Source organism: Homo sapiens, chromosome 21 (assembly GCF_000001405.40).
Source record: "Homo sapiens chromosome 21, GRCh38.p14 Primary Assembly".
In the NCBI taxonomy this organism is placed as follows: Eukaryota; Metazoa; Chordata; class Mammalia; order Primates; family Hominidae; genus Homo; species Homo sapiens.
In genome coordinates this window covers 36,689,946-36,709,161 of record NC_000021.9, presented here as the reverse complement: position 1 = coordinate 36,709,161, position 19,216 = coordinate 36,689,946, and the positions used below count along the sequence as shown (strand labels likewise).

At 58.0% G+C, this 19,216-nt stretch overlaps 1 protein-coding gene and 2 long non-coding RNA genes across 8 annotated transcripts in view, besides 6 other annotated features; 1 reads left to right on the top strand and 2 right to left on the bottom strand.

The window, feature by feature from the left end:
* SIM2 (SIM bHLH transcription factor 2) overlaps nt 1-10,047 on the bottom strand; it is a 50,803-nt gene extending 40,756 nt beyond the window's left edge. For all 4 annotated transcript variants that reach the window (NM_005069.6, NM_009586.5, XM_047440953.1 and 1 more), the window contains exon 1: nt 9,241-10,047. In NM_005069.6, the coding sequence (NP_005060.1) occupies nt 9,241-9,415 (175 nt within the window). In that variant the 5' untranslated portion in view covers nt 9,416-10,047. The remainder of the gene's footprint in view (nt 1-9,240) is intronic.
* Nucleotides 31-8,646, bottom strand: LOC107985492 (uncharacterized). Of its 2 annotated transcripts, XR_001755029.1 has the most exons (4): nt 2,950-8,646; nt 1,777-1,865; nt 1,313-1,550; nt 31-774 (listed from the first exon to the last, which is right to left on the bottom strand). It is a non-coding gene; the product is annotated as an uncharacterized LOC107985492 (long non-coding RNA). The 2 variants fall into 2 exon arrangements; XR_001755028.1 differs by having other exon boundaries at nt 1,777-8,646.
* Nucleotides 1,660-2,489: an enhancer, noted in NCBI's record as "H3K4me1 hESC enhancer chr21:38078973-38079802 (GRCh37/hg19 assembly coordinates)". NCBI's record gives its function as "activates a minimal SCP1, AML or CMV promoter by ChIP-STARR-seq in naive H9 embryonic stem cells {active_cell/tissue: H9 hESC(naive)}" and the evidence as "EXISTENCE:reporter gene assay evidence [ECO:0000049][PMID:30033119]".
* Nucleotides 3,320-4,149: an enhancer, noted in NCBI's record as "H3K27ac-H3K4me1 hESC enhancer chr21:38077313-38078142 (GRCh37/hg19 assembly coordinates)". NCBI's record gives its function as "activates a minimal SCP1, AML or CMV promoter by ChIP-STARR-seq in naive H9 embryonic stem cells {active_cell/tissue: H9 hESC(naive)}" and the evidence as "EXISTENCE:reporter gene assay evidence [ECO:0000049][PMID:30033119]".
* Nucleotides 3,763-3,944: a silencer, noted in NCBI's record as "fragment chr21:38077518-38077699 (GRCh37/hg19 assembly coordinates)". NCBI's record gives its function as "represses an EF-1alpha promoter that drives an FKBP-Casp9 reporter gene in an ReSE screen in K562 erythroleukemia cells {active_cell/tissue: K562}" and the evidence as "EXISTENCE:reporter gene assay evidence [ECO:0000049][PMID:32094911]".
* Nucleotides 7,634-8,226: an enhancer, noted in NCBI's record as "H3K27ac-H3K4me1 hESC enhancer chr21:38073236-38073828 (GRCh37/hg19 assembly coordinates)". NCBI's record gives its function as "activates a minimal SCP1, AML or CMV promoter by ChIP-STARR-seq in primed H9 embryonic stem cells {active_cell/tissue: H9 hESC(primed)}" and the evidence as "EXISTENCE:reporter gene assay evidence [ECO:0000049][PMID:30033119]".
* Nucleotides 8,227-8,820: an enhancer, noted in NCBI's record as "H3K27ac-H3K4me1 hESC enhancer chr21:38072642-38073235 (GRCh37/hg19 assembly coordinates)". NCBI's record gives its function as "activates a minimal SCP1, AML or CMV promoter by ChIP-STARR-seq in primed H9 embryonic stem cells {active_cell/tissue: H9 hESC(primed)}" and the evidence as "EXISTENCE:reporter gene assay evidence [ECO:0000049][PMID:30033119]".
* The window catches only part of LOC105369308 (uncharacterized), a 66,311-nt gene continuing 57,265 nt past the window's right edge, over nt 10,171-19,216 (top strand). For both annotated transcript variants that reach the window (NR_188246.1, NR_188245.1), the window contains exon 1: nt 10,171-10,253. This is a non-coding gene — a long non-coding RNA (uncharacterized LOC105369308). The remainder of the gene's footprint in view (nt 10,254-19,216) is intronic.
* Nucleotides 12,656-13,568: an enhancer, noted in NCBI's record as "NANOG-H3K4me1 hESC enhancer chr21:38067894-38068806 (GRCh37/hg19 assembly coordinates)". NCBI's record gives its function as "activates a minimal SCP1, AML or CMV promoter by ChIP-STARR-seq in naive H9 embryonic stem cells {active_cell/tissue: H9 hESC(naive)}" and the evidence as "EXISTENCE:reporter gene assay evidence [ECO:0000049][PMID:30033119]".

The following is a 19,216-nucleotide window of genomic DNA, read 5'->3' as shown; positions in this document are numbered from 1 at the left end:
GAGGGACGAAAGCAAATCGGTAAACTGCAGCGCCCAGCCCGATGCCTGGGAGCCGGGCAGGTCACGCGGAACCCCTGCACCCTGCCAGCCCTCCCCACGAGTCCCGCGCGTCTCCCCGCCGCCTCCCCGGCTCCGCAGCCGCCATCTGTGCTCTCGCCGTCGCCCCTTTGCCCTCTGTTAAAAAGAAAAGGCTGGGGGAGAAATCCCCGCAGCGGCCGGCAGCCCGGGCGCCTGTGCGAGCCTGCCAGGCCCACAGCTCCCGCGGGTCGCCCACGTGCTCATGGCCCTGAAATTGCCGTTTTATTTGAAATGCCACAAAGTAATCTAATCTGCTTTGAAATCGCCATTCTCGTGGCCAAACGGGGATATCGATTTGACCCGCAAATATTCCCCCAAGGACCCTCCTTCCCTCCCTCCTTTCTTTCCCTGCTTCTCCGGCAACTCCTTGTTTTCCCAAAGGCAGACAGGCTGAGACAGAAAGTCCCCGCCGCCCAGGAGGCAGCTCCTCCCGCATAAAAAACCCCCTACACGCTACCCCTTGGGCTTCCCAGCTCTCACAGGCGCCCCACGAGCGCGGTCCTCCTTCCAATCCGAAACCTTCTCCCTGTGAGGGGTTTACCTGGGGGCTCCCCGAGAGCAGACTCCAATCTGCCGGCGGTGAGAGAGGGATGGGCCACAGGCCGAACTGGAAAGGGTCTCCTGTCACATAATTAGGGATCCCCGGACTCCTCCGCTCAACAGGCCTCCTGCCCTTCTTCACCACCTCCGCAAAAGCTACCAACCAGTGTTGCGCACCAGGGGAAAGAGGGACCTGCCCGTCAGGACTCCCCTCCTGCTGCACCCTCGACCTGACTGCTGCGCCCCGCGAGACCCCAGGCTTCCCCTGCACAGTCCGAGGAAGCAGGAAAGCCGGGCGAGGCTGCGGCGCTTAGCGCGGGCTGGGACAACCCCCGAGCCCTCCCCGGAATCTTTCCGCCGGGAGCCTGGCCGCAGACCCTCCACTAAGCGCCGTGGCTGGTGGCTGCAGCGCCAGATGGCGAGGGTCGGTGCACCGCCTGCACCCCAACCTCCCCGGAGGACAACGCGCCCGGCGTCTCCCGGCCCACGAGCCTAGCTCCCGACCCCTGGCTGCGACCCCTGCGGAGCGAGCTGCGGGCGCTGCTGGCGCGTCCCCCGCCCCAACCCACGCTGGGCCAGGCCCAGCCCCAGCCCCAGCCCCCCACTGCCGTCCTGAGTGCGGTGGTGCCGCGAGCACTGAACCAAAGGCAGGAGCCCCCGGGCAGCGCGGGATACGAGGGACGGGGAACCTGACCAGCCGTGGAGATCCTGGAGATCGTTCCCGGGGCCGCAAAGCCCTTCCAAGCGGGCAGCCACGAGTGGGTTCCCGAGGAGTCGCCGTGCAGTCACCCAGAGCACCCTGGGTCTCTCAGCCTCCCCGGGAACGCCCTGGGCATCGCGGTCTCTGGAGGCCTCGACCTCTGGAAGCGTAAAATGCACCTCGGCCCAGGGCAGCGGCTTCGCAAACCCTTCCCTATTCGGCAACTAAAAACCTAAAAAAAAAAAAGTTAAAAAAAACCACTATTCCTCAATTTAAAAAGGGATGACCTTTAATTTCTCCTCCTGGGCTCAAGGAATTAGGGGCTTATCCTGGCTGAGGAGGTGGCTAATTTCCACATACACGATCCCGGGAATACAATCACAGCTCATTATTCGGGGGCCCCCAGCCTCCACCACGGGGGCAGCGGTGGCTTTTTAATCCCGGGAAATCGCGCTCACCCCGCATCACCACCGTGATCACAGCAGCACTCCCTGTGCTCTCACCAGCGGGTCCTTCCTCCCAGGCCTCGTGGCGGCAGCATTTACAACTGTTAGCAATGGCAAGAACCAAAATGTGAAGGTCCTGGGATTTGGTGAAGTAAGACTTAACTAAGGACCCAGGAATTCTGATTTCCAAAAAGCGACAAAGGCACCCTGGCAGCTGTCCTTTTCTCTGCTGCTGGGTCGTTCCTGGGGTTGGGCAGTTGTCCTGGAGCCACCTTTGCCCTGTGCAGTGTTAACGGTGAGCGTGGCCTCTGGGCCCTGGCTTCTTGCAAAGCCCATGGCGGGAAGACTTGGGGAGAAATCTGCACCTACGGAAATGAAACTCCAGACCAGACTCCGCTGCCCGGGATCTCCTGAAAGCTTCCTCGAAGGCCCTGGCTCTACATGCAAAAGTGCATTGGGCACACAGGACAATTTTCTGTATGATTCAAATACCCGCACAGTTCAAGATAACTTGTTCTCTTTTAGATCATTATAGTTTTTCTGTAATTCCCCAAAGCCTCTGCTTTGCCGGCGGAGATTTGGTGCAAACGTCCCTTTCCCACCTGGTGGAGGTGGTCGGGTGCTAGATGTTCCTCCCAAGCACCCCTGCCTCTAGGCCACCCCACCCGGGGCCGTGGCGCTGCCAGCTGTTCCATCAGAAACCAATGCGGGCGAGGTTTTTTCACTCAGCCCATAAAAATCTACTTTGGTCTAAACGCAGAGACTAAATAAAGATTTGTAACGAAAGAAAATTGTCTTGATACTGTAAAGTGATATACACTCCCACGAAAGTGAGGCACTGAGCACGTGGTCCTCATCTGGACCTAAGGAAGGGCTTTATTTCAGAAATAAGGGGTGAGAAGAGTCTGTGCTAGGCGCCTCGGGGTTAGCGGCTCCCAGCACTCACTGCTCTCTTGGAGCACCAGGGGTCCCCAACCCAGCCTGTGGTTTCCTGCCGGAGGGGTGGGGGTGAGGAAGGTGAGGTTGCGGCTGGGGGGAGGGGAGCTCCCTGCACCCCTGCAGAGCACTGCAGGACCTGTGGGGACGCTGTGCTGTTGGAAGTCAGGGATGGCCAGGTTGCTGGGACCCCCAGGGAGAAATGGAGGGAAAGGGAGCCAGCGCCTCATTCCTCCCTGGCCCCAGCACCTGCGAGTGTGTGCATGTTGGTCCCACACCCTGCCTGCCGTTCCTCACACTGCACGGCCTCCAAGCGATCCCTCCTCTTCCGAAGCTGGTCCTGGGGGTAACTCCAGATGCAGGTCACAGACCATAGACAGCACCACACCAAGAAGACTATTTGGGAGCAAACGGGGAGATAGTTCCTGCACTGTGAGGTGGCCGTCCCCCTTCATGAGGGCACCTAAGGGAGACCCGTAAAGGAGGCAGCCAGCTTCGCGCCTTCCTCTGGGTGGTGGCAGGGGCTGTGGGTCCAGCCCAGGACACAGGGCCTGGACTGTGGTAGGAACACCAGGTTAGACGATTCTCTCACTGCCCCTCCGGCAACCTCAGGCATCTAAAAACGGTGACAAAGTCTCCTCACAGGGTTCTTGTGAATATCAAATGCGGTTAACAACAAGAAGGTGCCAGTCCCTAACCCCAGCCCTCCATGGAAAATCGGACCTGGGAGTGTGGTAAATCCAGAACGGTTTGGGAGCCCCACCTGGGTGCAGGGGTCTCACCTCCTCCCGACTCCCCCTCCTTGCTTTAAGACGCCAGCTGGGCCCGTCTCCTCGGTCTGATCTCCAGAAGGGCCCGACCTCTAACCTCTATTTCTCACCTCCAAAATGGGATTTTTGTGGGATTAAACGAGCGCGGCCCAGCCCGAAGCCCCAGTGTTTGCCGGGCTGCCATCACTTTGTGCCTCCCTCTCTGGCTTTCCCACCCCTTCCCTGCCTGCGGCCTCTCCTCCCCCAATTACCACCCGCCCCAGGGGGAGCTGGGGTAGGGGAGGGGAGAGGGGTGTTTCTGGGGAGCGTGACCTCGGCGCGTTGCCGGCCATCTGAGGACTCAAGGTCTCACTTTCGGATTGCAAACCACTTCGAAGTCAAGAAGGATATGTGCGTGGCGGGAGAGGAGGGTGAGGACCGGCTGCCTCTTCCGCTCCCTGCTCCACGCAAGCACATATTGGGATCCTGGAGCTTTCTGCGCGGGCAGCCTCTACAGCTCCGCCACCCCCGACCTCGGCGTTTATGACCCAGAAGCCGCAGCACGACCCCCTGCAAGGGCGGTAGGCTCAGGGGGCTCCCTTGGGAACACCAGTCGCCGGGAACCTGTGCCAGGGCGTAAGGAGGGAGTTTGGGGCCAGGTTCTCGCCTAGTTGCTCTAGGACAGCCTATAGCTTGAGCCTCTAAGCCTCCTTTCCCCACAAAAGGATCCCAGTAAATTGTCGCAATTTGGGGCGCCTCTGCACGCTTCAATCCTTCTCCCGCGTCGGAGCCCTCGTGTTCTCCCCGGGGTCCCTGAAAAGCCCGCTTCTTGCGCCTTTTTCCAAACTGGGGACCGGGTGAGAAGGGGGTGGTCGTGGGGACGCCCCAAGAAAGCCTCCCGCGGCCGATGGGGAGGGGCAGGGAAGGAGGCTCCTAGCCTGGCCCGGCTTGTCGCCCGCGGGTATCCTACGTATTCTGAGGACAGACAGAAGGCCCGGTGCCCCCATTGCCGTGCGCAGACCTGGGGAGTTCGGACGCCGCCCCAGCAGCTGCTGGCTCCGAGGAGCGCGGCACCCACAGCCGCCCGGAGGCTCCCTTTCCGCCCCGGGGTTCAGGGATCCAGGTCCCCTCCTCTAGCCCCGCGCTGAATCTGCAGCGCGCGCTCCACTTCCTCGCCTGCAACGAAAGCACAGGCCCTGTGCCCGGGTGTCCCCTTTACCACTTCCCGGATTGTCCCCTCTGCGCCTGCGGGCTTTCCCTCCTGGATCCCCAGCTGCAGCCTGGCAGGCTTCAAAGCAGAGACGGGGAAAGCGTTGTAAAAAATCTACGTTGTTCTGCTAAACAGTCGACCTTTAATAAATCTGCATTTTTTCCAGCGGAGGTAGAGAATTGCCTCACATCTCTGACGCCCTGAGGGGTATAGGGGTGAGTTTCTCCTCACCCAACTCTCCAAATCAAGTCGCTTTGATTCCGGGAAACAGTTTCTAAGATAACCTGGCTTCTCGTGGTGTGCTCAGGTGGAAGTGGTGATGGGGGCACCTGCAGCTGAATTTAAACCCAAAGGCACCCAGGCACTGGAAGAGTTCAGACCTTGAACCCCACCTCGTTTCGTGTGGGCAAATGACAGTTTCTGGAGTAGCAATTCTTTCTCCCTCTTTCACCCACACCCATCTTGGGTCTTTCGGGTTGGGGAAAGGGAGATGGGGAGACTCAACCTTGGTTTCCAACTTCACTGCTGAGCTGAGTCCTGGGACCAGCCTGTTGTGCCAGGTTTGCAGTGGCACTGCTGAGTCTGGTGCTGGAGGCCCTGCCTCTGACCTCCGATGGGCAGAGGCCGACCTGCGTCCTGCTGCCTGTAGTCAGAGCAGCTATGGCCAGGGAGCAACCAGAGCTGGCCTGCCAGGACGCTTTTGCAGTTTCCAAAGCCCCTATCTCCAGAACGGAGGGCCACACTTTGGGGAGGGCTGGCTGACCATCAGACCTCAGCGCTGCCCCAGCCCCGAGCTTATCTTAACCACCCTCCAAGACTCATCAAGTTATCAATTTCGAGCCCATGTCCAAAGTCAGCCGTGGTCTCCTGTCCTCTTCCCAGCACTATCTACCTCCAATGTATTAGTTCACTGTCAAAGGGAAGAAAAGGTGGTCACCCAGAAAGCAGGGGTCTTCAAAGTCCAGGCAGTGAGTCCTCCATCCCTGCCATTCAAGACTCCTTTGAGCCAGGGAATATGGGGAGCTCACAGGAAGGGGTGAATGGCATAGGAACAATGCTTAGGATTCCCCCCTCACTGCACAGCTTTTGCTTGTGGGACCTCACCCTTCATCACAGCAACCCTGTGCATTGCTAATGGGCCCATTTTACAGATAAGGAGACCAAGGCCGAGTAGCGCTGCATGACAATGGGGCCTCAAACCTCGCTGTAAATGTTGAAAACATCCCCAAGTCCTTGAACTGGCTACCAAGTGGGGTGCTTACCCTGGTTCTGGTGGTCTCCCTCTGCCTTGCACACAGGGACCCCTCTGAGTTCCTCTTTCTGTCTTAACAACTGAGGAGATCTATGTTAAAAGGAACAGAGGCTGGCAGCCTCCTGGGTGCAGTGGAGTGAGAACATGCCCCACAGGACCGCAGTGGCAGCAACTGGCCTGCTATTGCCCTTGCTACAGAGCCTTGGGAAAGGCCTGTGTCATGTCTGGCCTTAATTTCCCCAGGTATGAAGGGTTAATCTGGTGATCCTTGCAGTTCCTTAGGACTATGCTATTCTTTTTTTTTTTTTCTTCCTCCCAGAGTCCTAAGCTGGTCTCTAGATTCTTTACCCCAGCAATCCACTTGCTTTGAGACAAGACCGCCCTTGGCAGATCAATTCCTCATGGTATTTTTCACCTTGCAGCTGAGAGCCCGAGGCGATCTGAGAGCCCCTGCCACAGCCCGGGACCACCCTGGCCCTAAAACCTCCCTAGGGCCACCACCCTGACCCTGGCAGCTCAGACAGATCCTATTCCAACCCCGCAGCCATATCCTCCCTCGCAGACCCAGGTCCCCTGAGAAGAGGTTAAATCAATCAAGATGCCACTCCACTGCCACTCTTTGGAGCTACTGGAAGGGTGACCAGTTTGCATAAATGGACTCCAGTTTGCATAATGGAGGTCTTTCTAAACGCATCTTCTTCCTCTGCCCCAAGTTCCCAGCTTCCCTACTCCTCAGCCCCAGACTGACTGAGGGCCAAGGCCCCGGAGCAGCTGTCCTGACGAATTCCAAGGATATGAGTCCACCGGCTCCAGGTCTACCCCTACCCCAGGCATTGCACGAATGGAGGAGGGAGGGACTAAGCCACTGCTCCCTTCCCTTTCCGAGGGGGACCGAACAGGTTCAGGGCCCTTTCCAAAACTCTAGGGCCAAACAGCTCCCTTCCAGAGTGCCAACTTCCAGGGTCACCCCCTCCAAAAGACACACAGGAAGCCCCTCAACTGCTCCCAAACCTGCCACCAGTGCAAGCTGCTCAAGGCCTGACCCCCAGAAGGACCACCCCCGCCCAAACTCGGGGCCCAGCAATTCTGAGCCCAAATGCCTGGAGACTTGCTTTCCAGAGCCAGAACGCACAGAGCCGGTTTAAAGGTGGCTGAGCGGTACACCCACCACTTCGCATCTTTTAACAGGCTCTCCGGGAAATCCCTCAAACAGCGAACAGCTTCTGAGCAGCCGTGTCTTCTCGGCCCTCCCTTACTAATTTCTGGTTTAATTGAAATCATTGACCGCAAATCATTTGATCTTTGGATTGCTGCTTCGAAGGCTTTTTCTATTTCCAAAGGGGGCAGAAGGCAGTGAGTGCCCTCTCGTCCGGATTCCACACCTGCTTTGTTGCATGCGGTTAAGGAACGGCTCTTCCCAGCAAACCAGTTACCACCACGCCTCCCCGGAAGGAGACTCAGAAAACCGAATGTTCTTTTAATTTCCCCTAAAACATCAACCGGAGTGGAATCATCCCTAGTTCTCTGCCAAGGGGTCACCATTGAGCGGACAAGTAGCGACGACCTTGGGCAACAGCTCTCAGCTGGAGGGGCTGGGACTGGGGTATCTTTGCCACGTTCCGAGTAGGAAAGGGAGGAACCTGCCCTGGGCTGAAGGACCGCTGCGCCCGAGAGGAGAGCGCCCCGCGGCCGCGCGGTAGGGCCGGGTGGCACAGGAGAGGCCTAGGGTCCGCTTCCAGCCCCCTCCGCTGCCGGGTGCTCCCGGGTCAGCCCGCGCCTGGCTCCTGGGCCGGGGAGCCGCGGGGCTGGAGGCCGCGCTTGCAGACCAGCCCTCTGCGCTCCACCGGGGAGGGGCCGAGAAGCGCAGCTCCAGACCCAGCGGCCAGCACAAATAACAGGCTTGGCAGAGGCGAACGCAAAAGGTCGAGCTTTCCGATTTCGAGTAGAGTGCCTGGTGGGGATGGCGCTATGGAAGCGCCCTGCGGCCTAGGGACACCTGTCGCCTGCTCTGCCCCGACCGTCCGGCGCCCTGCGGCGGAAGTTGTCTCCCTACCTCGGCACTGGCTCCCGGGGCTCCAGAGGCCGGCGCAGCCCTCCCAGCTCCTGGGCCCAGAGGACCCACCAGAACCCTGAGCAGCGCGCCTCCCAGCAAAGAGTCAAATCCTTCGGGCCAGGCCGCAGCGACCCCGCTGGGAGCAGAGGCTCTGGAAGACGCGGCCCGGAACGCTTGGGACGCCAAAAACGCTCAGACCTGCTGCTCGGAGGTGCCTGGCCGGGCAGCCACTGTCACCAGCGGCAACCGGCGTGGGCGGCGGGGCAGCCCACCCAGCGCGCCACTATTTCTTCCTGTTCCGAGTCTTCCGCACCGCGGGTCCCAGCGCCCCTGGCCCACTGGCACATTTTCAATCCTGAAAAGAACGGCAGCGCTCAGCTCTGTCTGCCATTTTCGAATTAATCGGACCCCTCTCTTTCAGCCGGGTCTCAGCTCAGCAACGGCGGGGGCGGGTCTCTCCTGCCCGGACTTCCCGCACCCCAGCCTCACGAGAGGGCCCGGCTCAGCACAAGTGTTCGCTCTGTGGCCTCAGCCTGCAGTGCTTGGGCCTCACCGTGATCCCCGCTGACTCGCAGCGCCTGAAGCTGACCCTCCTTCACCTCCTCCAGAAGAGACAAAAAGAGGGAGGAATGAAGGAAAAATAAAGGGAATCGTAGAAAGAAAAGGAGGAAGGGAAGGAGGGATAAAGAAAGGAAGGGATGGGGAAAGAAAGAAAGCAAAACCAGAGTGAACTTCCAAAGAAAGGAAGGAAAGCAGAAAAGGAAAGAAAACAAACCAATGCATTGGCAAAGGAAGGAAGGAAGGAGGGAGGGAGAGAGGGGGCCAAGGAAGGAAGGAAGGGGAGAATGAAAGAAAGAGGAAGAAAGAAAGAAAAAGAAAGAGAAAGAAAGAAAGAAAGGAAAGAAAGAGAGAAAAAAATCCAAACCAAACCAGAATGCACTGGCGAAGGAAGGAAGGAGGAAAGGGAGAAAGAACAAAACCAGAAAGAACTCGCTGGCCGTGCGGGCTGGGGGACTGCCTGCCCCTGGAACAATTCGTAATTCGCCCTCACCCAGCCCTGGACCAGGAGAGGGTTTGGTCGCCTGGGCCGCCAAGGCCCTGGCCCCTCGCCCCAAGCCAGCGCCGAAGCCGAAGACCCTCACGCAACCTCCCTCAGACGCCCCAGCTCTGGACGCCAGGCCGCGGCAACCCCTCTGGGCGGGCTGGCTTGCGCTTCCCGCCTGGGCCGGGGCCGCCGGGCTCCCCAGCGTCCCCGGCCGCCCACCTGAGGCCTCACCTTCGGGGAAGACGGCGCGCATCTTCAGGTAGCTCGTGGTGAGGCGGATGATGGACGCTTTGTCCAGCTGCGAAGTGATGGCCGACGGCAGCGGGAGCAGCTTGGCAAGCTCGTAAAACTCGCCATTTTCCTTCTCCCTCCTGGTCTTGGCCGCATTCTTGGACTTCTCCTTCATCGCGCCTCGGCTCCGGGCATATTAGACCCGGCCGTGCTCCAGGCCCGCGGAGCCCCGCTCGGGCTGCGGCGGCGGGGATGGGGAAGGGGGAGCCGGGAGCCAGGTGAGTCCGCGGAGTGGGCCGCGGGCAGGTGCGGGGGGCCTCCCGGGGTTCCGAGACGCCTCCCCGCAGCCGCCGGGCCTGAGCTCCGAGCAACCCGGCGGCGCCGCCCGCCGCTGCCCGGAGCGCAGCCTCCTCCGGGCTGGACCGTCCTGCAGCAACCGGAGCCCCGTTCCTGCTCGCTCCTGTTTCCTCCCTCCTGCCTCTCCTGCCTCGGCCTTCCTGGGGGGTGGGGGCGGCCGGCGCGGAGGCGGAGGCGCTGCTTACTCCTTCGTCGAGTGCTCGAACCGGCTGCGGCAAGGCCCCTCCGGACCGGAGGGCGACAGGGGCGGCGGTGGCCGCGGAGCCATGGAGCGGGAGCCCAGCGGAGGGGAGCGAGTCGCAGGCGGCTGGGGCCGGGCCCTGGCCCGGGCGCGCTCTCCTGCCCTTCCTGGCGGCTCCCTGTGCCTGGAGACGCAGCGCCGGAGCCCGCGATGTGTGGCTAGGCGCAGCACCTCCGCTGTCCACGTGCGGCCGAGCCGCGTTTGTTTATGGCAGACCCGCCTTCGGGCGGAGCACTGGCCGCCTGGGTCCCGGAGGGGGGAGCGGGAGGGGGGAGGGACCGCGGCGGGGGCGGGGGCGGCGAATCTTGCCTCCGACCCCGCCGCGGCCCTGGAGTCACAGGCGCGCCTCCGCGTCGCTGCCTCCAGGGACTCTCCCGGGAGAGACCCGCGCGCTCCCGGGTTCGGGGAAGTCGCGGTGAGTGCACACGGCGCGCCGCGGGGACCCGCTCCTGAGCGCCGGTCGCCGGACCCCGGAGCTAGGATGGGCGGCAGGGAGGGCGAGGGAAGGAGGGGTGCCGAGGCCGCCCCTGTGGCTCTCGGGAAGGTCACCAGCAGGCGCGGCCGAGAGGAGGCGGCGCGACTCGTTGGCCAGGCGCCCTGCCGGGGAGGATCGAGCCTTCCGAGGGTGCGCTGGTCCCGCGTCCTCGCCCTCCCGGTGTTGCAGGTCCAAGAGCTGAAAAGGGGAAAGCCGGGAGCCCCCCTCCCCCCATTACACACACACGTGAAAACGGCGCGAGTGGCTCCGAAGTGACCCTTCTGCCCTTTCTGTCCTCGAAACACTAAGGTGCAAAGAGATTGTCGCCTTCTCAGGAGGAGCGGGAGGCCGCAGGGGCGCTCAGGCCAGGGGAAGGGAGGGGCCAGGGAGCCCAGCCGAGTGGTGAGGCCTCTCCCAGGGCGCCGGCGGAAACAGGGCCCAACTGCCGGGGCGGCGGCAAAAGCAGCCCGATTCAGCGCAGCCGGAATTTTGAGGAATCGGCGTTGGGCGATTAAGGGCCAAGGTCGCTGAGCCAGGGTCACAGGGTGGGCGCAGGTGGCGCAGGTGGGGCCCATGGTGATGGGGCAGAAGGCAATTGGAGAAAGAAGACTCCGTTGCAGACGCGGCCACTGGGCATTCTGGACTCTCCTTCAGGGTCATTTTGGACCTAAAGAGTCCTTTTGTCCCCCCTCTGCCCTCCCCTGTCCGGCTCCCGCAGCCTGGAAATGGGTGTGCGGCCCAGGAGTCCTCCGCGCACCCCTGCAGCGGCGGTCACATAACCCCACCTCTTCCAGGAGTGCAGCTTTCCCGGCCCCCCAGGCCAGAGACAGGCTCAGAGGACGCAGGGCAATTCCTTACCTTGGCGTCGAGATCATGTGGGGACTCTCGGCCGTGTGCCACAGGCTGCAGAGCCGTGGAGCAGTGGGGTGCGTGACCTGGAGGTCAGCAGGGGCCGGGAGGACACCGGGCCGCGGATGGGGGCGCGGAGATTTGGGTTCTCGGTGTCACTGCTCTCGCCACTGGCCCGGGATCATGAGCCTGCTGCTCCGAAAACTCGCCGTCGGACAGCGACTGAGTATCCGCTTCCCTCCCCTGGCCCTCCCCTGCGCCAGGAAGGCCTGGCCTTCGGCAACCGTGCCTGCAGCAGGCGCTCCTGACCTTTTCCAGGGACTCCTTTGAAGGTCAAAAGTTCGAAGGCGTTCGAAGCCGAGCAGGCTCCCTCCAGGGGCTGGAAGGTGTGCGCAAACCCGGGCTCTCCCCCTGCCTGTCCCTAGCCCCTTGCGGAGTCCACATCGTGGCCAGGGCTCGCAGGCTTGGTGCTCCGAAACCGCGACGCCACGCGAGCCGGACGCACAGAGTAACAGCGCTTTCCTTTGGGGTTTCGGATCCAGGAGCGCTTTCCTGTTGCAGCGGCTTGAGCAGAGGGCCATGGGCTAGCGGCGCGGGTCTCCAATGCCCAAGCCTGGCGAGTCGGACCCACCTCCGCGCCCAGGATCCCGCTCCTGGCTGCGCTGACAGCTGCCGGCTCCGGGCCTCTGGGAGAAGGAGCTCCAAGGGGTTAGAGGCTACGGACCCAGCCCCTGCCGCAGCTTCCGCAGGCGGCCCCCTGAGCCCGCTCTGGCACCTCCTGGGCTTCGGGAGGATTTAATGCGTTTCTCACCCCCACGGCTTCCGACCCTCAATTATGGACCCGGGAGAATTCCTCCTGGGCTTGAAAGGGATTACCCAGATCGCAGAAACATGGCTAAGTGGAAGTGGGAGAAACCCGACAAGTAACAAGAACGGAAACTTTCCTCAAGGCAAATTTCCCGGATTTTACGGGAAAGCGCACTTATCTTCCCAGGGACAGCCTCTGTTCACGTGTCCGCGAGGCAGGTTCGAAGCGCGCTACGGGAGGCAGAGCAATGCCGTGTTTGAAGACTGGAAGATACGTGGGTGTGAGATACCTCCAGGCCCAACGCCTGCCCAGCAGCTGCCCAAGCAGACGTTGTGTACTCGGCTCCCCCAAGCACATCCTTTCGCCGTACACGCGCGCGCGCGCACACACACACACACATCCACACACACACGCAGCTGTGGCTCTGGGGTCCCTGATGGCACCACGCAAAGTACCAGAAGTACACGGGCACCGCACCTCGAGGTTTCCCAGGTAGGAAGGACAGGGATGCCTCTGTGGAATTGTGAAGGAAGAAACCCAACCCTTGGTGGGGGCCGTCCCGGAGCTCTCCCTGCTGGAGGGGGAGCCTCGGGCCCTCGGAAAAGGACACTTAGAGCTAATACCCACAGGCCGTATGTGGGATAGTTAGTATGAAGCTGGAAGCTCTGTTGGAATGGAAAAGTACCGGGCAGGTGCTCACTAGAGTGGTCAGGAGCATCGGCGGTGACCGCAGATTGGGACACCTCCTATGTCTTTCCCTTCTGGCGCGGGGAGAAGAAATTCCTGGTCCAGGTATTGGGCCTAAAGCCGAACGCCCAGCTCAGAAAGCCCGGACCAGCCTCGCGGGCCCCAGGGGGGAGGCAGAGATGGAGCGCACGACCCCCGAGTCCGAGGCACCGTTCTAAATGGCGGTTCACCCACTGGCCCCAAAGGAGCCTGAAGAGTAGGGAATGAAAGGAGACTGGGGGCTGGAAAAGGGCGGTGTGGAGACGGGTCGGACGCATTGAGGTCCGGACCTCTCAGTACGTCCCCACCCGCAGTCTGTCCCACTGCGCGTGCGAGCAAGCCGCCTCGTACCCCACCTCTTAGAAATGTTCCATTAGGAAACTTATCTGGAAGAAATTCAGGCCCCAAGAGGAACGAGGCGGGCCCGGATCGCCTCACATCTGCTTGGATTTTCCGCTTCAGATGCTCCGCAACTGTTCTTCCCCAGGCCGCGCCGGCGCCTACCTGCGATCCATCCCCAGCGGAAGCCGACTCGGGAGAGATCAAGGGAAGAACTCCGGCCGTTCCCCGCGGGATGGGAGAGGCTATTGCAGTGGCAGCAGGAGATCAGAGACCTTGTCACTAAGGAGGTGGGGGAGGGGGAAGAATTTCCAACCTCTGAAGTGGAGTTTAAGAACTTCCACTGCCCCAGCAAGCAGAGGCAACAGAAAATCCAGGACTGCGTTGATTCAAGCCTATTTGGTTTATACGCTCTTGTCTACATCCGCAATCAGTTATGATATGGTTACTCCAGAAAAGTCCGCTTGGCCCAGCATCACATATATGACCTTTTCATGGCTGAGAGGATTTTTGGTCTGGGCTATCTGAAAGAATTCCTCGATTTTTCACTCCTTTCCATGTGTAAACCCTGTGGAGACGTCACCAATTGTCCTTGGGGTCATTGCTACTTCCAGAAAGGACCGGGGGACAATTACAGTATTACTACCCACAGCTTACAAATAATTACAGGTATCCAGACCAAGTCGGAAATAATTTATTCCTGCAGAGGCCAAGACCCTAATTCGTTCTGTTTGCTGTTTCCTCAAGTAGTAGAGAGAAATTTATGTCTCTTTTTTGCTTTTTTTAATAAATTATTTCACTGGGAGTTACTCCCTGGGAGAGTCTTTTCTTTTAGGTTGGTCAACATGTCTGATTATCTCATTACATGCAGTAACCCCTGGCAGATTGGCCTTTGTGCCCTGGGTCTAGAGACCCCATTAGTCCAGAGCCATCGCGCCCAACTGGGTGACCACAGCTCTCTCTCCCGCAGGAGAGAAGAGGGAGGGATGGAGAAATCCCAGGGGTGGGGGATAATGCCCACCTCCTGGGCCGCTTGTGGGGGTAAGGAGCTGCCTGAAGCTGATCGTCTTGGTTCATGTGCTTGGACTTGGTTGTCGGGGATAACTTCGGGTTCTGGGATTGGGAGTGAGAGAGGGTCCTCAGGCAGTGTCTCCTGTCCCAGGATTTGCATAGCTGCTGCCCAATTCTCCATTCCCCTCAAGGTGACGCTTTTAGGGGAATAAAAACGGTGTCCTTGGTAGTTAATGATAGTGATTAATTAATTAATGGTAGTGACTAGCAAAGTCCTTGAGCGAGCGACCAAAGCTGCACCTGGGTTGCCACACGTTCCTTCTAATTTTACCTGGGGTCGAGGGGTGAGCCCTTTCCCCTGCATTTTCCTTCCCTGTCTCCCAAGCCTGCTCCTCTTTCTCGCTGGTCCCTGAGAAGGCTTCGGGACTTCGGTGGGCCCCTTACGATGCACACAAACATCCAGTGACCGACCTTCAGTGAGGGTGGGGACTCATCTCGAGCACCCAGGGGTGGCTCCCTAGGCCTGACCATGGATTCTGGGGAAAAGGACAACGACAAGGGAGCCCAGCGTCCAGCGACGACCTCATCTCGCTCCCCCTCACCCCCGCCCCCTACGACCTGCCTCCCTCTCCCAGAGGGCTCTCGGTCCAGATTAACGGAAACATGGCCTCAAAATCCTGGGTCGGGGAGAGGCAGCACATCTGCTCCCCAGCAAAGCCCTCCTTTCGGTCTGGAAACATCCCCATGGCTTCCAGAGGGCCCAAGAAGCATCTGGAATCCCCTGCGCTGGAAGAGTCTTAGTCTGGTGTGCACTGAAATTCCTCAGTGGTTACATCAATTACACACCGTCTTGAAATCTGAAAACCGATTAGTTCATTAATGACGTCGCGAAACAGCCCTTCAAAGACACGAACCAAAAAAATCCCATTTAAGAAACAAAACAAAACCTATCCACCTAAGATAAACCTTTCTGTACATCAAGAAAAGCACAAACTACGGGGCTTACATTTTTTCCCTAAGCATATAATAATTGTAATAGCCAACCCTTAACATAGAATGGGGCTGCTATAGTCCTTTAAAGACACAAACTCGTTTGGTTTGAATAATATAGGAGGTCTTATTTGCAAAGCAACGCTATCAGCGAGGAATCTATTCCCTAATCTAAACAAATCCGTAAGAAGAGGCACGTTCATTCATTGGAAGTTTAAAGAGAGAAAGTTACAGAAAGGCCGGCGGGCAGGCGGGCCCCGCTGGGTTGGCCCCTCCAGCCAGGCCGGGGCGCGTGTCCACCCCAAATCCGGGCGTGGACATTTTCCCGCTTCGAGCGGATTTTTCTTTTTCTTTCTTTCTTTTCTTTTGAAGGTCAGCGTGAAAGGTGAGTTTTCTGAGAGGTGTGTGTCGGGGAGCCCATTCATTCCTTCCAGGAGGAGGAGACGAAGCCCACGGCCTAGAGCTGCTCCGGGTCAGAGGTTCCGCCGCGCAGGGCGAGCGAAAGCCGGACTTCAGATCTGAGCGGCGGCGGGGCCACGCCGGGCGTAGGGACCGCACCCCATCTGGTCAGGCACTGGGGCGGTGGCACTGGGGCGGTGATGGGCCCGGGTCGCCAACTCTCCCCGCCCTAGGCCACACACACCTGGGCTTTGGGAGCTGCGGGCCACACTCGGGCACGCACGCGGCAGGGGCTGCTGGAGCGGTCACAGGGGCAGGCTCCCCGGTCGCCAGAGGTCTCCTTAATTCCGCAAAAGGGACTCGGGACTCTACCCCCGGCCCTGGGCGCCGGCTCAGCAGGGGGTTATTTCGAAGATATCATTATTGGGAGTCGCGGTCCTGCCTTTTGCGCGAAGTCTCGGGACCGCCCGCGTGGTTAGAAACGCAGGCCAGGCAGGTGGGCGGAAGGGGGCGCAGTGTGCACGGCCGCCGGAGCGGCTCGCGCACCTGGAGAAGGGGTCGTTCAGTGCGCGCACACCCCCCAGGTAGGGGCCTCGGTGCGCACCCCGCCACTGTCTTGTGCGGTGTTGGGGTGACTTGCGTGACACTCAAGTGAGTGCCTGGGGCCGCGCGGACGTCTGTCCTGGCCCTGATGCGGGCAGCCTCTGCCCATCTCCCATCCTCCCTCCCACTCTCCGATCAGCCGCCTCTCCGCCCCCACCCTCCCCAGATTCTTCCCGCGCGGGGAGTAAGGACCAGGGCTGGGACCCGCGTGGGGCGGGCGAGAGACTGCGGGACCCAGCGCACGTGGGTGTTGAGATGTCTGGTGAGAATAAGAAGCCAGTGCTTTCTTAGCTTCGCCAAAGCCCCCAGCGGTATCCCCAGCTCTCGCCTACTTAGACAGAGTCCTGATCTGAATCCACGCGCTGGAGACTCAGCCTTCTCCGGGGAGACCTGGAGTGGTCCCGATTGCGGAAGAAGGTCCAACGCCCTCCACTGTCCCTCGCCCCTGCCCTAAGCCAGAATTCCTTCTAGGTGCTAGAGCAAATTCCTGAGCAGTCAAAGAGTGCAGCACATTTTCGTGTGAAACGAAAGACTTTAAATTAGCACGTTTTCCAGCTCAAGAATATTTTCCCTGGACACAGCATCGGCTGCTGGTAACTTCAGGGTGACTGCAAACCGTGCGGTCTGCCAATAATTTTGGTCCCGACTCCAGTCCCCTCTTCATTTTTTAGAGGACGAAAACAAAATAATCTCGGTGATTGCACCATCGTCCTTCCCATCCTGCGAGTATAGACAAAGACTTTAACCTGACAACGGAATTCTTTTGGGTGCTTCTCTCCCACAAGCTTTTGAACCAGGCAGAGTGAGCCCTCGGGCGCCTTCCTCGGGAGGGCACACAGATTTGCACAGTCGGGACCCTTCTCGTGGCTTTTCTCTTTGTGGGAGAGGCGGCGGTGGTGCGAGTGTGCGCAGGGCTCAAAGGGGCTGGGCAAGTGCTATTCCGCTCCCCCGGTGGAAGCCAAATTAAACCGCTTTATTATGATGTGAGAGACCTATGTTCAATCTTGCATTTAATTTTGGAGAGGTCCTCCTATTTGCCAGGCCCTGCGTTATTGACAAATCTAATTTTTGAATAAATACAAGCAAAAAGAGCACGGAGGTGTCGCCGTGGGAGGAGCGCCGTTCAGTGACACAGGTAGACGCTGGCTTCCTCTGGCTAAGCAGCCGGCGCCACGTTCAACTTGCTCGGGAGCTCTCGACACTGGATGGAAAGCCACAGCCTCCAATTCCTTTTAAACAATCTAAACAAGGTTGTGAGTCCTGGAATACTCCTGTGTGAATTTGCTTTATTCCTGGATAGTTGGGAGCCGGGGAAGGAAAAAGATAAGCGCTGTTGTTACTCATGCAAAAATAATTTTCGCGTTTACTGGAGTCTACTTAAGGTAATTGACCAGAAAATACCTCCCTGTTTAAGCAACATTAAGGGTGCTCCACTGAAAGCTACTTGAGTTATTTGTACTTCTGTTTAGCCTGATCCCTAGCCGACATTTTCGCAGAAGCTGTGAGCTCTGACAAATGCAGGAAAGTGGTTTCCAGGAGAGATACACCTGCGAAAAGTACTTGAATTCCAGAGCTGACCCCACCCATCTGTTCTTTGACAGGGTGTCACTTGGACCCTCCTTGATTGAGTTTCAGTAGCTGGATTTTCTAAAAGTAAATCCCAGAAATGGAAATTCATACTCATTATCTTGCACAAACATTTTAATTTCTGAGTGGCCTGCGTTGGGCCATGGAGCAGGAACGTTTCCTGCTGTAGCCACAGCGATCCCTTAAAAGCTGCAAAACGTCAGCTGAGGATTAGAAAGGCAATAATTCAAACACAGAGAAAATTCCTAACTAGAAGAAAAGAAAAAAGGCTCCAAGTGAAGTTACAAAATTTATATTTGTACAAAACTCCTTTGAACAATTATTTGACAGTAACCGTCTTTTTCTAGTTATGTTTGTTGACCTGAATTTCTCAGCCACCCTTTGCATGTGCGAATCGTGAGACTCTTGTTCTCAGCAAAGATGACTAATGGATCTTTTAGAAATTCATGCTTTGATTTTCTGTGTTAGCCGTGGAAGCTGCTTCATTTTAGATACTTTATGTGATGGCTGTCAAGGGAAACTTGGGTACAATTTCTCAGGAGTATCTCTAAAAACATTATTCATAATTAAAAACTGATTCATAGAAATCACCAGAAAAATTATGGCACATTATGTTCAAACATATTTTTAGGCATGTGGAATAAATAAAATCATTTTGGTCTGGCTGAGTAATACTGCCTCCCAACCTTCCTCTCACGGTGCCAGGAAGTCCTCATATAACTTCGTAGATTTCAGAACCGCCTGTGTGACACGAGCCAGAAAACATCTGTGTTTTCTCCAGGAATGTTCTCTATTGATAATGCAAGTTACAATTCTGTTCTTTAAAAAACAGCTGAATAGTGTAGCCCAAGGGGTGGGGAAGGCAGTACTGAAAGGAGTATCTTTAATAACCTTAGGATTGTTTTAAAGGGGGAGAAAGACTATAAGAAAATTCCACGTGATATAGTCTGAAAGATGGAATAAATTCACTGGAACGTAGACCCACCTCATTATAGGCCAGCTGATGTGCCATGGTTTTTTGGCATCTTAGTGGTGAAATTCCCAAGAGCAATCATTCTTTTTTTTTTTTTTTTTTGGAGACAGAGTCTTGCTGTGATACCTGAATGGAGTGTAGTGGTATGATCTTGGTTCATGCAACCTCCATCTCCTGGGTTCAAGTGGTTCTCGTGCCTCAGCCTCCCGAGTAGAGAGTAGATGGGACTACAGGTGTGCACCACCACGCCAGGCTAATTTTTGTATTTTTGGTAGAGACGGGGTTTCACTATGTTGGCCAGGCTGGTCTCTAACTCCTGACTTCAGGTGATCCACCCGCCCCCCACCTCAGCCTCCCAAAGTACTGGGATTACAGGTGTGAGCAACCATGCCTGGCCCCAAGAGCAATCATTTTGCCTCTACACTTTGCTCTGTAGGAAAAAGCAGTACACGGAGGTCCCAAGGTATTAGCAATACCAATCCCTTCAGCTGGTAGTTGTGTGAGTATAAACCCCTTCCTGGTAGAGAAGTAGGGCAAGGCTTAGGAAGGCTATTTGGTGGCCTGCAGTGGTTAATGCATCTTCTGAAGTCCTCGGGCTCACAGTCTAACTTGTCTGGG